Source organism: Homo sapiens, chromosome 20 (assembly GCF_000001405.40).
Source record: "Homo sapiens chromosome 20, GRCh38.p14 Primary Assembly".
NCBI classification, from domain to species: Eukaryota; Metazoa; Chordata; class Mammalia; order Primates; family Hominidae; genus Homo; species Homo sapiens.
In genome coordinates, this window is record NC_000020.11 from 16,309,748 (window position 1) to 16,325,832 (window position 16,085).

General features: G+C 38.2%; 1 protein-coding gene across 12 annotated transcripts in view, besides 2 other annotated features; it reads right to left on the reverse strand.

Moving 5' to 3' along the window:
• The window catches only part of KIF16B (kinesin family member 16B), a 301,345-nt gene that overhangs the window by 37,644 nt on the left and 247,616 nt on the right, over nt 1-16,085 (reverse strand). For all 12 annotated transcript variants that reach the window (XM_047440266.1, XM_047440264.1, NM_001199865.2 and 9 more), the window contains one exon: nt 2,588-2,671. In XM_047440266.1, the coding sequence (XP_047296222.1) occupies nt 2,588-2,671 (84 nt within the window). The remainder of the gene's footprint in view (nt 1-2,587; nt 2,672-16,085) is intronic.
• Nucleotides 7,924-8,443: an enhancer, noted in NCBI's record as "active region_17561". NCBI's record gives its function as "activates an Ori minimal core promoter by ATAC-STARR-seq in GM12878 lymphoblastoid cells {active_cell/tissue: GM12878}" and the evidence as "EXISTENCE:reporter gene assay evidence [ECO:0000049][PMID:35858748]".
• Nucleotides 12,817-13,111: a silencer, noted in NCBI's record as "tiled region #7814; HepG2 Repressive non-DNase unmatched - State 23:Low". NCBI's record gives its function as "represses a minimal TATA promoter and a strong SV40 promoter by Sharpr-MPRA in HepG2 cells {active_cell/tissue: HepG2}" and the evidence as "EXISTENCE:reporter gene assay evidence [ECO:0000049][PMID:27701403]".

Sequence of the window (16,085 nt, forward strand, 5' to 3'; positions counted from 1 at the left end):
TTCTTTTAAGCAGACATCACATTTATCAGCTAGTGCAGATGTGTCCTACTTGAATCCATATGTGTTTATGTATTTATATATATGACTAGGTAAAGTTTCATATAGGAATTTAAACATACACACTTAGAGGAAAGGAAATATCTCATTTGTCTTTGTATTCTATGTAACACCTACCACTGTCTCCAGCATGTAGTAAGGAATTAAATGAATGTTTGTTGAGTTAAATGGGAAGTTCAGGGAAAATAACTAAGTTGATTTTCATATGAAAATAGTCGCAGGGAATTAACTCGAGAAGCTCAGATTAACTTTCTATTAAAGTGAAGGTTACTTATACTTGCTCCTTGAAAAGAAGATAATATTCTAAGATTTAACAGTCAACATTAGGTGAAATGCATTAAATTTCAAAAGTAAGTGCTTATTTCCATAAGGTGTGGAAGCTGTTCTCTAGAGGATAATGCCACAGATAAATAACAGTCACAGCCAAGGGAAGGAAGGGTTCCTTGCCTAGGCAGAGACATTAACATAAAACTCTGCTCATCAACAGCTGATGGTTTAGAAGGGTTCAGTGATGAAGCAGCAGATGCCAAAAGGACAAACACAGGTTCCACCTGAAAGCATTAACAATGAAAGAGTGCCCTGAACTTTGCTCTAAGTCAGGAAGTTGGAATGGAAAACCAAGGGTACCCAGTGCTGTGCTCACAAATGCATGGCACACAAAATGCCCAATCTGTCATGGCACAGCTGTGCACCATGTGAGTTTAACAAGAGCCCTGAGTAGCCAGGGATGACAACAATCTATTTTCTGTTGGCATATAAAAACAAGTTTATAAACCATCATTCTCCATGTTTCCATTAAAGGCAGGTCTAGTTAATGAAGGCAGGGAAGAGTTAGGTAAAGAAAATCATCCCTAGTTCTACTGTAATTTTTTAATTTTTTTTGTATGATACAATCAAACCTTTGAGAAAACTTGGTCAAGCAGACTCACCGCAATAATCTTTTCCTTGAACACAAATTCTTCAGTTGGGTATCAGGATCATGCCATTCTAGGTTGAATTACTTCTTCAGATGTGTAACTCTGTAGTCTAACTCAAATGCCTCTAAGCATGGCTGTATCCCGAAACTCCTCTTTTCTCAGAGTGGTTCTATATTCAATATCTCAAAACTCTAAAATGCTCCTCATAGACAACAACCTCCCAGTCTTCAATTTCTCCTTTGCTCCCACTTCTCTCCTTCTGCTCTCACGGGAACCTCCAGCCTCTAGATATTTCCCTAATCCTTGTTCAGTGGCATTAAGTGCATGCCATGGGCAGCCAATTTTAACTGGCTGTCACCAGCAATGAGAATACCTACTTTTTATACAGCACTTCACAATCCAGAAAGGGCTCTCTCAGGACTTTCCTTATTTGACTTTATTTCCAGTAGGTCTTACTATTATTACTCTTAAAAGAAGTAGCAAAGGGCTGGGCGCAGTGGCTCACGCCTGTGATGCTAGCACATTGAGAGATGGAGGCGGGAGGATGGCTTGAGGTCAAGAGCTCGAGACCAGCTTGGCCAACATGGTGAAACCCCGTCTCTACTAAAAATATAAAAATTAGCTGGGCATGGTGGTGCACGCCTGTAATCTCAGCTACTCAAAGGCTGAGGCAGCAGAATCGCTTGAATCTGAGGGGTGGAGGTTGCAGTGAGCTGAGACTGTGCCACTGAACTCCAGCCTGGGCAACAGAGCGAGACTCCGTCTCAAACAAAACAAAAACAAAAACAAAAACAAATGAAGTAGTAAGGGGAACTCTGAGAGTCTCCCTGAAAGCTTGCTAACACTAGGTCGTCATCAGCTATTTGCACTTCTGTCCCTTGTCTGCCTCAATGGTTCACAATGGCAAGAGAGTGGCCAAGAAGCAAGGACTAGCCATGATCATGTTTTCACCATTCTTAAAGAAAACAACTGGTCCCTGCCTTAGTGAAAAGACTCAGCCTCATTAGCATCTCCAACCAAATAAGCAACTATATCCCAAAAAAGAAATACAAACTAGATAAAGCAGTCAACAATGTGCATTGGCAGTGAGGCAGTCAGAAAAACAACACTTGTGTTAAACCAGAGTTCTACATGTAGTTGGCTTGGAAGATTAAGTTAAAATAAGTCAAATGAAACCTACCCATGACTAAAATAGGTATGTGTCTTTTTGCTTCCAACTCTCCTGAAAAAGCAACAATGATGTAATACTATAAATTTTCAGTTAATTAATTCCAAGTTTTTGCAGCAAGCTTTGTACTCTCATCCTGTATCACATACCATCTGTCTATGGTGAATATTTAGTTCTCACTCACATCCTGCTTCCTAACCCTTAGAATAAATGCATCTTCTTAAAAATAAGAAAAATGTTCCGCTAGACCAGAGGAAGATAAGGACTTGTATTTTAAACAAGCTGATATCATATCTTCATAATCTACTGCTGCCATCTCCTGTGTTAATGAGGCAGCATCTTCACACTTGTGAAGAAATTTAATAGTATTTAACAGAAACAATTCTTACCGGTCAGATGGTACATTTTCTACATACACAGAGGAAAAACAGCTTAATTCTGTTACCTCTAAGTGACTTCGTCTCTCAGCAATCACACGTTCATCCTTATTTCCAAATAGTTTCTTTGGAGGAAATTCAAGGGCAGCAAGCTGAAATAGACATTTTAAAAGACATGCATTAATAGCATACCTGTTAATTGTTGGGCTATTATTAATCTATTATTTGAAATCTCTTCCATGGGGTGAAAAGAAAGAGGCTGAAAGTTTAAAGATGGTGGGTCCTGCCTTGCTTTATCACCAACTGTGTGACCTTCAACAGATAAAGCAACCTTGGGTCACATTCCCCAGTGGTCAAATGAGAAGACAGGACAATGGGAACTCCATGGAAGAATGAATCTGATTCTCAACATTCTGTCTCAGATGACATATCAGACTCTGTGCCAGGTGGTATTTTATACTTTTTGTTTTTTAAAACACATGTTTGTTCTTCTTTCAGTCCTCCCACCCTTTTTTTTTTTTTACTAGAATCCAATTAGTTTTGTGTTGAGATAAGAATTTGAAAATTCAACCTACACACTACCTGAACATTTTATAAAATCGTTTTCAGACTATTGCTAAGGTTCTCTAAATATTCAGTATTGCCTTTTCAGTTACCACCGTGAATGAAGACTGCCCATGTGAAAAGAGGACTTCTCTTTCCATCTTTTCACCTTGTTTCCTAAAAATGAAGGTTCAGATTTTGTTTAGCCTGATCTTAGCATTTCATAGTATTTCTCTTATGCTTTTCCTCTTGAATGTACAAAAATTATAAACAATAAGTTTTACTACAGATTCCCAGGCAAGATAGGATTCTATAATCTGATGAGAATCCAACTAGCCAGTGTTGCCTTGGCTGAATAAATGCTAAGTAGCAATAATTGCTGCAGTTGCAGAATTCACTATTTCCTTCCTTTCTCAATTTGTCAGGACCAGACAAATTGAAGCCAATGAAGCATTACCAAGAAAAAATGAGCATTTCTCCCACAATGTAGGGCACAATATGTCACAAAATTCCAATTTTATGCCTATGCAAATCACTAAGTTGATTTAAATTTATATTGCCACAGTGGGAGTCAAGAATTAAAGACTAGCATCTGTATATATAATACTTTTAAAACATAGTATTAAAGTATAATATACATACAGAAAAGTGCACATATCACAAGGGAAGAACTGGATGTATTTTCAAAATCTGCACACACTGTGTAACCAGCACTCGCATCAAGAAGCAGAACACTGCCAGCACCCCCAGAGCTGCACTTGCTCCCTTCCAGGCACTCCCTCTCACCCCTACAAAAGTTAACGCAGGCCTGACACTATGACAATAGCATCGCTTGGTTTTTCCTACTTTTGAACTTCATGCAAAAGATGTCATACAGTATGAACTCTTTTGTGTCTACCTCCTTTTGTTCAGCATCATGTTTGTGAGATCCAACCATGTTGTTATGCGTAGCAATAGTTTGCTCATTTTCACTGCAGTACAGTATTCCACCATGTGAACATTCCATAATGTATTTGTTCATTATCTTGCTGTTGGGCTTTTTGTTAGTTTCCAGTTTGTGGTTACTAGAATTGTGCTGCTATGATCACTTTCCTATAGATCTTCTGATAAACATATGTACGTATTTCTGATAGTCATACTCTTACGTGTTGCAAATGCTGGGTTATAGAGTGTGTGTGTGTTCAGCTGTATTTGAAACTATCAAATGGTTTCCAAAACAGTTTTAGTAACTGACACTCCTATCAGAAGTGACTGAGAGATGTGGTTGCTCCAGATCTTCACCAGCACTTGGTACAGTGGTCGTCCTTCTTAGCAATGCTGGTGGGTCATGTCTACTGTGGTTCATATTTGCATTTCTCTGATGACTGATGTTGTCAAACAACTCTTCACCTGCTCATTGACATCTGGTTAGTCATTTTTAGGCAGTGTCTGTTCAACTCTTTTGTCCATTTTTAAATTCGTTGTCTGCCTTTTCCTCAAGTAAGAATAATTCTCCCTTTTCACTCTCTTAAAGGTGTCTTTGATGACTTTATAGCCTGTCTTAAAAGTTGATTGAAGTTGGGCAGATGTTTGTCTCATTCCCCCTAGTGTTCTTTCTACCAAAGCAGAGAAACCTTGGAGTGGGTTGAAGGTAACACCAAGGGATGGGTTTCCCCATCTCTGTTTCTCACCAATGTTTAGTTGGCTGACATCCAACTTTAAAATCAGTTCAAGGTAAAGTGAAAGACCATGGGCACTGAGGCAAGACAGACCCAGTCTGAATCCTGGCTTGACCACTAACCAGCTTACTAGCTACGTTTCTCTGAGCCCGAGTATTCTCTGCTGAAATAAAACCACAGAAAATGAAACCAAACTTTAAAAGGATTCCGTGAAGATTTAGTGACTGGATTTTAGCTATATTAATAGCTGTTAGAGATCTGCTAATTACTGAGCAAGTGGCACGCCCACATTCCCTTGTGGCCTCTCTGCATCCACTGGGAAGCCGTAGTGACATGGCTTCAAGGAGCAAAGGGTTTTCCGGAACCTGGACTCAGTGGCACAAACACACTCCCCCCATGTTGCAGCTCAGAGAAGACAGGTACAAGAAGAGCTCATCTTCTGGCTCCCTCCAGCTTCCATCTCCTCCAGTACAAACGTGCCTCCCGCTTCCCCCGATGCTGTGGTGCTGAAAGCTTGGCAAGCATGCTTTCACAGTTGGTTGTTTTGTCATTTTCTTATGTGGCTGATGAGGTGATGTGGTTTCTGTCAGGGGAAATTTATAGTCACACTCACATGCTCAATCAGAAGTCGTGCAATAAAAGGACTTTAGGCAGTGGAAGCGGGGAGGGAGCAAGCATTCACATCTCCTGCTAGTCAACAGTGGCGTTCCCTCTCCAGACCCAGATGGAGGAAGCATTCTGTGCTATTAATATTCAGCCTGTGAAATAACTATGTGTAAATTATGTGCAACACTGTTGTTCAGATTTTAGGAGGAAAAGGCCAATTCTAAGTGACTTTCAGGCCTATAATCACAGGACCATGATACTCAACTAACTGTCTGACTTTAGAGTTGAAGACACCCAAGCCCAGAGCTAAGTGACTTGGAAAGGCTCAGAGTCATGGGGGCAAAGTCAGGACTGACTCCAGGCCTCTCGGGATAAAGCTGTAAGGAGCGTCTGCAGTGCATGAAAGATACTGTTGCAAAGTCTTTGGGGATCTAGGGTAAAGATGAAAAAGAGTGATTCCTCCTAAGTGTATGTAACCAGAAACATGAACATACCACTCCAAGGCAGTCATCAACAGTTCCAACAAGAGTTGTCAACGGGACCCTGCTGAGGACCTGCACCCTTGCCCAGGGTCAGCAGAGCAGTGGAGAACAGCAGGAAGCAGGATGGGGCTGGAGCTCCCCAGAAGTCCATTCCAGGACATACAAAGTTAGTTAGCAACTATCATCTTACCCCTCTCCAAGTAAAAACTAAGAATAATGGTAGCTATCCTTACAATAAAGTACAGGTAGGATGGAGAAAAGGAACAGCTGCAAAAGTTCCAATGTGGCTCATGATAGAAATGTGAGCTAATGGGCCCAGGTCCTACAGGTGGGGCTGGGGCATGAACAAGCCAAAGAAGAAAGCCAAGGCCATAATGTAAAGTATAGGAAAAACATGCCCCCATTAATATAATGATATTTCCATCGGAAACAGCTTCAACTGCAACGTGAGTGAATCCCTTCCCTCTGATATAGTAGAAACCACCTCCATGTCTCCTCTTTAGAGAATCCTAACAGTGCCACTTAGGCCTTGCTATCTATAAGCTCAGGTTGGACAAGATGAAATTGCCAGTTCTGTAAGTTAAAAACTGTTGAGTATCAGCAATTTCATCTATCTAAATCCTGCATAAAACTTCGACACTTAAGTGACTGCTAGGGTCGCTTCATTTTCCATCAGCTGCGTTATCTGCCAAGTAAAATATCTCATTTGATAGTTGCTGATCAGCGATACCTAAGCCAATCCATTTCAAAAGAATATTTTTCTTAAGGCACTCAAAAGTAAAACAAAAACTAGAAGTATCTTATATTTTAAAATATACTACATTAAAGTAGTGAAAGCATTGGGATAGCAGGGCAGGTGGCACAGGAGGCCATTTGGAGAACAATAATAGCTAACATAGAAGATATTAGAGTCACATTCCTAAGTCCATCTTCCAAAAAGAAAAAAAGAGCATCATCTTTACTTGGATGGGCTTCCTCAGCTCAAATAAAGGAGTCTCTGAAAAATGAGGGCCCTGATGCTGACCTGCTGAATGACTGGAATGAAGAAGGTGGGGAGCAGGGGCAGGAATTACCACTCCATTCGTAAAATAATAATATAGCTAAACCTCTTACCACGGGTTAGATGGCCAGAGTACAGAAGAGGGCTGGACTTTTTTTTCTCTCCACAAGTGCAAAGCTATTGCCTCATTTATTTCAAAATAGATCAACAAAAGCAATTCTCTGTAGGTTTCATTTCTGAAGTGTAAATGATTTGAACTGCCTAAATAGTTTTAAAAAATGGACAATTTACCAAGATCAAAAGAAACACTGGTCAGGACAAATAACTGTGCCTGGAAGACCAAAGAAAACAACCGAACACCAAAAAATCTCTTCCATTTTGCTGAAAGTGCTGTTTTCTGAAATGTAACACTTCCAACAAATTAAGAATATAAGAAAGGTTCAGAGAAGATGTGATTCTGAATTGTCTCTGACCTCTCTACTCATGTCCCCCACACACCAACATCTTTTATTTGATTTCTCACGTTAAATAAAAAGTTTAAAATTAAATCAGAAATATTATCTGAACATTTTCATTCCCTCTCAAGTACTTTATATTTACACATTTTCATTTTTATTGCCTCATTTTTCTAACAGAACAGATATTCTAGTTTTGATTTTCATGAGAAGTACTGTCAGGAACAGTGAATGACAATCTGTAGGTGGAGAGACTCCTCTTGGATTTCCTCTGTAGCCTCTGACAAAGGAGATACAGTGTCCTATATTTAAAGAAATTAAAGTTCCTGAAGTTCTATATATTCCTCTCAACAACTACATTCTACAGCGTCTCAGGTAAGTATTTCTGAATTACATAAAAATGTTCAAGATACTTGGGATTCAGTAATGGAAGAAAAAGAATTTCTTTCTTTCTGTAAGATTTCATTTTCGTAAAGAACAAGCATCATCATTTCCCCTTACAACTTTTTTGGAGAGAGTCTCATGTTGAAAAGCGTGACTGCACCAAAAATAATCTTTCTGCAAAACCATAAAAATTGGTGAAACCATTCTGGTTAAAGATGGTGGAGCAATGACTCGATTTGTTCCTCTCACCTTCTTCAAAAGCACTGCTACCACCGCAAACACTGTCTCTGAACTGGGAAACCGCCACAGCTCAAACTGTCGGCCAGGCAGCAGCATCCAGAAGACCATCACAGAGAGAAGAGATGACGGGAGACAAGGGTGGCCTGCCACCCTCACCCTCACCTGCATTCTGCCTATGCTAAATATGGGGATGAGAAAAAGATCAGGATGCAATTCCACTCAAGGAGGAAGGCGAGCAGGGGCTGTGAGAGGAGGAGCCTGGGGAAGTCCCTGTCTCCAGAGACAGAGGCAGGAGACGCCAGAGAGCAAGCGTTTGGCTTTATCGCCCACAGCCAGCAACTCCACAGCCCCCATGAACCAGAAAACAAGAGAAGATGTGTCTCAAAGTGAAGGAAAAAATTGGTGAAAACAGTTTCAGGACAATTCTAAGTGGTCTGCGCATGCCATAGCTGCCCTCCTCCTCCCCAGCTTCTGCCCCTCCTTGCTCCCACAAAGTACTGGTGTTTTCCCACAACAATTAGTCCACTTCCCTTAAAGATGAGAAATAATTAGAAGGAACCAAAACTGAAACTATGTGTAAAAAGGGTGAGGTGAGGTGACATTGAATGAAACATAAGCAAAAGGCAGCTCAAGAGGATACACCGTAAGTGGGATCAGCCAAAGCTACCCAGGAGGAATTCAGAGAATAAATAGTCACGTAGGAACCATAAAATCCATCTCTAAATAGAGCCCAAAGAAGTAAATAATACACACATTGAAAGAAGAGAAAATAAGGGTAATAAAGAGGAAGCAAAGCGAGCCAGTTCTTGGAGAAACGGCTGATTCCAGGATGGGGCAGGGAATACACACGACAAGCCTGAAGCAACCTATGGCGCCAGAAAGCACAAAGTGCTTGAAAACAAAAACACAAGACGCGGTGTCTCAAAGGAACACAGACATCAAGTGAAAGAGCTCCCAGTGGCCAAAGCTGAGACAATTTGAAAAAGAAAATTAAAAAGTATTGGTGGATAACCCAAAATAGAATAACTGAATAAATAAATAAATGGGGGATTCAGATTCACTTTGAAAAATAAAATAAAGTATTGGTGGGTAACCCAAAATACAATGACAGAATTAAATAAATAAATGGGTAACTCAACTATCAATTCAGAATAATTCCAAATAATTTATGTAGATGTTTCACCCTCAAGAAAGTAGCCCATTATTTCCCCACTCCTGAAATGTGTGCTATGCATAGTGACTTCCTTCCAAATAATACAGTGTGGAAAGGAAGAAAAACAAGCAACTCTACAGTAGAGAAACTTCAGCCACGTGATCAAGTATCAACAGTGGTAAGACATACTGATAGTATATATCCTTGAGATGATATGATAAAAATGGCATTTTTACCTCTGCGGTCTCCCTCCCAAAAATGCATAACAAGTCTTCCTCAAGAGTGTCAAGGTCACTGAAAACAAGGCAAGTATAAGAAACTGTCACAGTGAAGAGGGGCCTATGGAGACGTAATGACTAAATATAATGGGGTGTCCTGGGTGGGATCCTGGAACAGAAAAAGGCCATTAGGTAAAAACTAAGAAAATATCAATAAAGTATAGACATTAGTTAATAATAATGTACCAGTATTGGCTCACTAGTTATGACAAATGTACTATACTAATGGCAGATGTTAATACTAGGGGAAACTGAGTATGGTATATAAGAACTCTGTACTATCTTCAGATTTTTTTCTATTAATCTAAAAGTATTCTAAAATAGGACTTCTGGTTTCTGATCCTACACACGAGGAGCTGAAAAGTTACTCCTGTCCTCATGACAAGAAAAAAGCTGAAAAATAAATGAAGATCAACAACTCTTTTTAGATCCAGTGGAGAAGTGAGATCACAGGGCAAACTACTGCCCTCAGACTGCAGAGACAGACAGGTGGACACAGAGAATCATAACTCAGCCTGGCACTGAGGCCTGCTGCTAGAGCCAGTATTGGTAGAAACACTATGAACAGTAATTCCAGAATCTCTGGAGGCTCAAATATAGACTAGTGTGATTGTTAAAATCTCTGAGGGGGGCCAGTCTTGAGGAAGGTCTCCACGCTTTTGAGCGTTTTACTTCCAGGAGCCCCACCAGGTTCTCACTGTGAAGTTGGATTCTAGTTTTCAAATGATGTGTTCTCACTGTGACATTAGGGGATTGAGCAGGGGAAGGAAAAAGTAACCATTTTTAAATATTCCCAGAGCTCTCTGTTCTCCTTCACAAGGCTCGCTCTTAAGAGAAAGTGTTTTACCAGAACCTAACTACCTTAGGTTTTGCCAGAGCCTAACCGACCAGGGCTAAATGAAACACTCAACGCAGGCTCATGAAAAGACTGCAAACTACCCTAGGACTATAGAAGGCTTCCTCTCACCATACCTTACCATCACATCATGGGGCTGCTGTGTAACAGGGATTACAGCTGAAATAACTGTAAGCCTCAGACCCTATTTTAAAAGACTCCAGGAAAGCCCAAAGACAACAATGGAAGACAAAAACAAGGGCACTACAGGAAATTTTAGCCTCTGACACCACATCGACATCAACCAATAAACCTAGCCTATATCTTAGCCAGATAAACATAAAACCTCGCACTAAAAATCAATCTACCTCAATTCCTTTTACCCAATATATAGTGTCTAGCTTTCAACAAAATATTACAAGGCAAATTAAAAGGCAAAAACACAGTCTAAAGCTATTCTAAAATGAAAAAAAAAACTTTAAAAAAATCAGTGCCTCTGCACCCTCCTTCCTTCCACAAAAAAATGTGAGCCAGCAGGACTTAAGAAAGAGGTGGAAGAAACAAAAACACGATGGGAATGAAAGCCCCAGTAGAAGGAACAAGTGCAGAACAAGCACAATAAAAACAGATTAGCACGCAGCACACAGAGCGGAGAAAATAACAACACAAAATAAAATGTGATAAAAGAAATGTGACCCAAAAAGTTTATATCTAACCAAAGGGTCTTTCAAGTGCCACAAATACACATTCTGAAGCAGATAAGAACTCAGATAAAACACATCAAGGTGCATCTTTCAAAAACATACTGAATGACCAAAAATATCCAACCACAAGATAGCACAATGTAAAGATCTCAGAATATAACTTAAAAAATTTGGGAGGTGGGAGAAAATAAAGTTAATTTTATCTCTGTTAGAAGAGTCACTTAGTAATTTATAAAATGGAAACACATCATTTGAAAACTAGTGACCTTAACATTTCAATTTAAAAAATAATCTTAGAGTCACATATATTTTAGAGACAATATATCATGTGGTGAAGAAAATTTAATTTGAAGTTCAGCAATTTCTTCAGTTTTCATTTTCTTTCACTTCTGTTCAAGTAAAATTAAATGTAATGTTTATACTTAAAAATACCATATCTAGAATAAACACAATGTCGTAAAGTTATTTCACTCTTTTCCCTATTCTTCGATTTTAATTTCTTTTTTGTCAATCTACATCTCCATCCTCTTATCTGTGCCTATTCATTTAGATACTTAAAATAATGTTCATTAAATGGTAACATTAATCATATTTATAGAATCATTTTGGGATAATCTGTTCCTTTTTTTCTTATATTTCCTTGTATTATGTAAAATTTTTATAAATGAACATGCATCATTTTTATAGAAACAGTAAAAAGTGATTATTCTTTTTACAAATTTAATGGAAGAGTTAAATTAACACCATATGTCTTTTTCTTTTAATAACCTAAGATTTGGGGCAACTGGATTTCAAGTCTCAGCTTAGCAAATAGCTGGTTGTATAATCTGGAGCAATGTATAAAAACTTCTCTAGTTCCTAGTTTCATCATCGTGAAAATGAAGAAATTGAACCAAGATGTTTAAGTTTCATTTCAGTTCTGAAATTCTATAACTCAGATGCTGATGATTAAAATCTCCCTACACAGCGTTAGAAGTAACACTTTAGATACCATGGAGATATTTTACCTATTATCTTGGCTATACTGCTTTTGAGGAAGGTATCTTACTTCCTATGAAATCTTCACAGTATTCTCATTTGAAGTAAGGCTCAGATGTGCAGAAGGAAAATGGGGCCTGATATAATAATGAAACATATTATTTTTTCAAGAGGTTGTAGAACAGAAAAAGGACAGACACAAACAGAAATGCAGTATTCATGAGAAAACCCTTAAAATGGCATCTTTTCCTGTTATAGCTATTATCCTTACAGCAGGAGTGGGAAATGATGCAAAGATATTTGAGCTCTTATGGGAAAACTGTGTATTAAAGTTAAAAATGATGACTGAGGTCAAATAAATTGGATATTTGTGACAGATATGATAGGCCTAGAGAATGCTGAAGGAGAGCTTAACAACAGCCCTATGGCCTACTTTGTCTCATTATGAAATTTGGTTATGTAGAGTAAAACACAGGAAACAAACAAATGAGGATTACAATAGCATATTTCTTAGGCCTAAGAAAAGCATAATGGCAAGCTTGTTTTGCAATTCGGTGAATAAAATATATTCAAAAGACAAAAGACAAAATTCCTATGGAACCAAAAAAGAGCCCACACAGCCAAAGCAAGACTAAGTCACTAAAAAATGAAATCAATAATTTGAGGCCTACCGATTTCCAATGAAATTTGTCTTTCCCTTCTTCAGTGCTTGTGAAGTCTAAAAACCCAAGTAATTAGCTTTATTTTGGATGTTCAACCACCAAGCCTCTACATTTTTGGTTGAAAAATAGATCTATATGAAGAATTTTCAAAAGAGTAAGCTAAGACAATTAGTATTTACTTAAATCTTATAAGCTATTTTATAATATAAATTATTTTATAATTATTCGTGAATCCCAGGGTTGGGAATTATGAAAGCGTTGAGTATCATCCATCTAGCAAGTTAGCTAGCTATATGTATATGTATGCATATTAGAAATATAGTCAGCATTCTCTCTGCTGATACTGTAATATTTCTTAATGATCTCAGAGTGAAATTTTCATCTATAAGTTGATTTTTCTCTTTCTGATTCCCGGTGAACTGACACAGCCCAATTTTCTTCTAAGAGTTATCAGGCTCAAATCCTGACTTCAATGTTTATTACATTATAATAAGATAGGTCAGCCAGTCTGCTGCCATCAAGAAGACATGTAATGGAAAAATGTAATGGAAAAGTTTCCTGTTTTTGAAAGCCTTTTCTCTTGGCAAAGTTCACATTTTAGTTGAGCCAGACCCTGTATTAAGTGCAGGTGGTCTTGGAGGCAACAGACAGTATAAGCCATTTTGATAAATGGCATCGCTATTACTTTGGATATAAATAATGGCAGCCCTAAAATATAGAAAAGAAATTAAAATGGGTAATAAAAAGCCTTGCCTATCTTTTATGATTTTTAACAACTGAGCAGCTAAAACTGGGTTATAAATCACTGAAAGGAAATTGAGAACTAATAAAGTTGTGGAGTCTTTACTAATAAAAGGAAAACATTTGACTTCTGTTAACACCTGATAAAAGTGTACTCTGTTGTCATTCCTCATTTACTAGTCATTTTCTTTACTCCTGTGATATTTGGCTATCTAACTTTTACCCAATTTTTAAAGATTAGAAGAAAAAATACAACATAGCACTCGAATTGGTCAAATCTGCTATAACCTGTCTTTTGCAAGTAAACCCACCTACATGGTAACTAGCAGCTTTTGAAACATCTGCACCCTAAAGGTTTGTGGCTGTAAATTTAAGCCATTCTAGCTTTTGAGAAATGCAAATAATAAAAGCTCATCAAAAGGCTCCATAATTCTCACATCTGACTAGATGGAAGCATTTCTGACTACTCCAAATTAATAGCAGCTCCCAAGGCCTTATAAGAAGAGCTGTCACTGAGAAATATACTCACAAACAAATAAGCAATTCTCTTCCAAGTTTGATTTGTTAAAGGCATAAAGCAGCAACTCTTCAGGACAACCTAGCTGGATTATGAAGGGAGTGATGAGCTACCTTTAGACTCCTGATAGGGTAACTTAAGCCCATACCACACAATATTTATGAACATCTCTTCTGACCCTAGACCAGAGTCTGCAACATACTAGACCCTCCTGAAGTATCAGCTGACTGAAGGAACAGACAGAATTCATTGTTGGTGGTCAATATGAAGCAGCCAGTGATTAAAGTCAGAATATATCCCTAACAGAAGCTGCTGTCCTGTTGTCACCAAAAAGCTAAAACTTAGAGTCATCCTAGATATAAAATCAAATTTGGAAACATAGTTAGCACTACACCATCTTTCAGTTATATTTGGTATAAATATTGTAACTTTTCCACATGAAGTCTCATTTTCCCCAAAGCCCGGTGTCAGTTTCATTCAGGCATGACCCAGTGAACGTAAACTTGAGGACATTCATATGTGCCACAAACATTTTTTAAAGTGAAAGATACTTCAGATCTGTGAATATTAAATATTTCATTTTTAAGAACAAATATGCAGATGAAGTAACTAAAGTGTATTTTCCATTTCTTACTACGATTTGAATTGTTGCAGAGACAGACATGACAGGAACCTGTCATTGTTATCATCCATGGAGACTTGCTATGTAACAGATTTTTACAGGGAGCAGGCTTTCTTTTCTTTGGTCTCATCTAGAGAATTCTGTGAATTTTCCCTTTTAAAGTGAACATGGCCATGGAGAGGGAGGTTCAGACAAAGAGCATGGGACCAGGAATTAGGAGACATGAACCTTGCCCCATGTCCTAAATCTTGGTGTGACCTTAACAAAACTCTCCATAGGTATTTGATTCCTCATATCTAAAATGAAAACTGGACTATTCAGTCATTAAGATCCCTCAGGGTGCTGGCATTTCACAATGTGCAAACAGTTCCAAGCTCATTGCTGTGGAAGTTTCCTTGTTTATTGCAGAGGAAAGAGTAATAAAGTCCACATCTTTGGTGATCAAAGAGACAATTAACATTTCTTCTCCACTGTCTAGGTTTGAATGAGTCTGTCATTAATTTTGACAAGAATATTTGTCACTGGAAATCATCTTTTAGATCTGGTGCTTTACACTAATGAAAAATCAACCCGCAGCTGAATTCTATCAGACATTCAAAGAAGAAATGGTATCCATCCTATTGAAACTATTCCAAAAGATAGAGAAAGAGGGAATCCACCCTAAAGCATTCTTTAAAACCAGTATCACCCTAATACCAAAACCAGGAAAGAACATAACAACTAAAAAAGAAAACTACAGGCCAATATCCCTGATGAACATAGATGCAAAAATCCTCAACAAAATACTAGCTAACCAAATCCAACAGCGTATCAAAAAGATAATCCACCACGATCAAGTGGGTTTCATACCAGGGATGCAGAGAAGGTTTAACATACCCAAGTCAATAAATGTGACACACCACATAAACAGGATTGAAAACAAAAATCCCATGATCATCTCAAGAGATGCAGAAAAGGGATTTGACAAAATCCAGCATCGCTTTATGATTAAAACCCTCAGGAAAATCGGCATAGAAGGGACACACCTTAAGTTAGTAAAAGCCATCTATGACAAACCCACATCCAACAATATACTGAACAGAGAAAAGGTGAAAGCATTCCCACTGAGAACTGGAGCAAGACAAGGGGGATGCACACTTTCACCAATTCTATTCAGCATAGTACTAGAAGTCCTAGCCAGAGCAATCAGACAAGAGAAAGAAAGAAAGGGCATCCAAATCAGAAACAGGAAGTCAAACTGTCACTGTTCACGAGATATAATTGTATGCCTAGAAAACCCTGAAGACTCATCCAAAAAGCTCCTAGATCTGATAAATGAATTCAGTAAAGTTTCAGGATACAAAATGAATGTATACAAATCACTAGTGCTGCTATATACCAACAGCAACCAAGCGGAGAATCAAATCAAGAAATCAACCCCTTTTACAATAGCTGAAAAAAAAAAAAAACTTAGAAATGTGAATAGGAAGTGAAAGACCTCTACAAGGAAAACTACAAAACACTGCTGAAAGAAATTATAGATGACACAAACAAATGGAAACACATCCCATGCTCATAAATGGGTAGAATCAATATTGTGAAAATGACCATACTGACAAAAGCAATCTACAAATTCAATGCAATTCCCATCAAAATACCATCATCATTTTTCACAGAACTAGAAAAGAAAAAAAACCCTAAAATTCCTATGGAACCAAAAAAGAGCCCA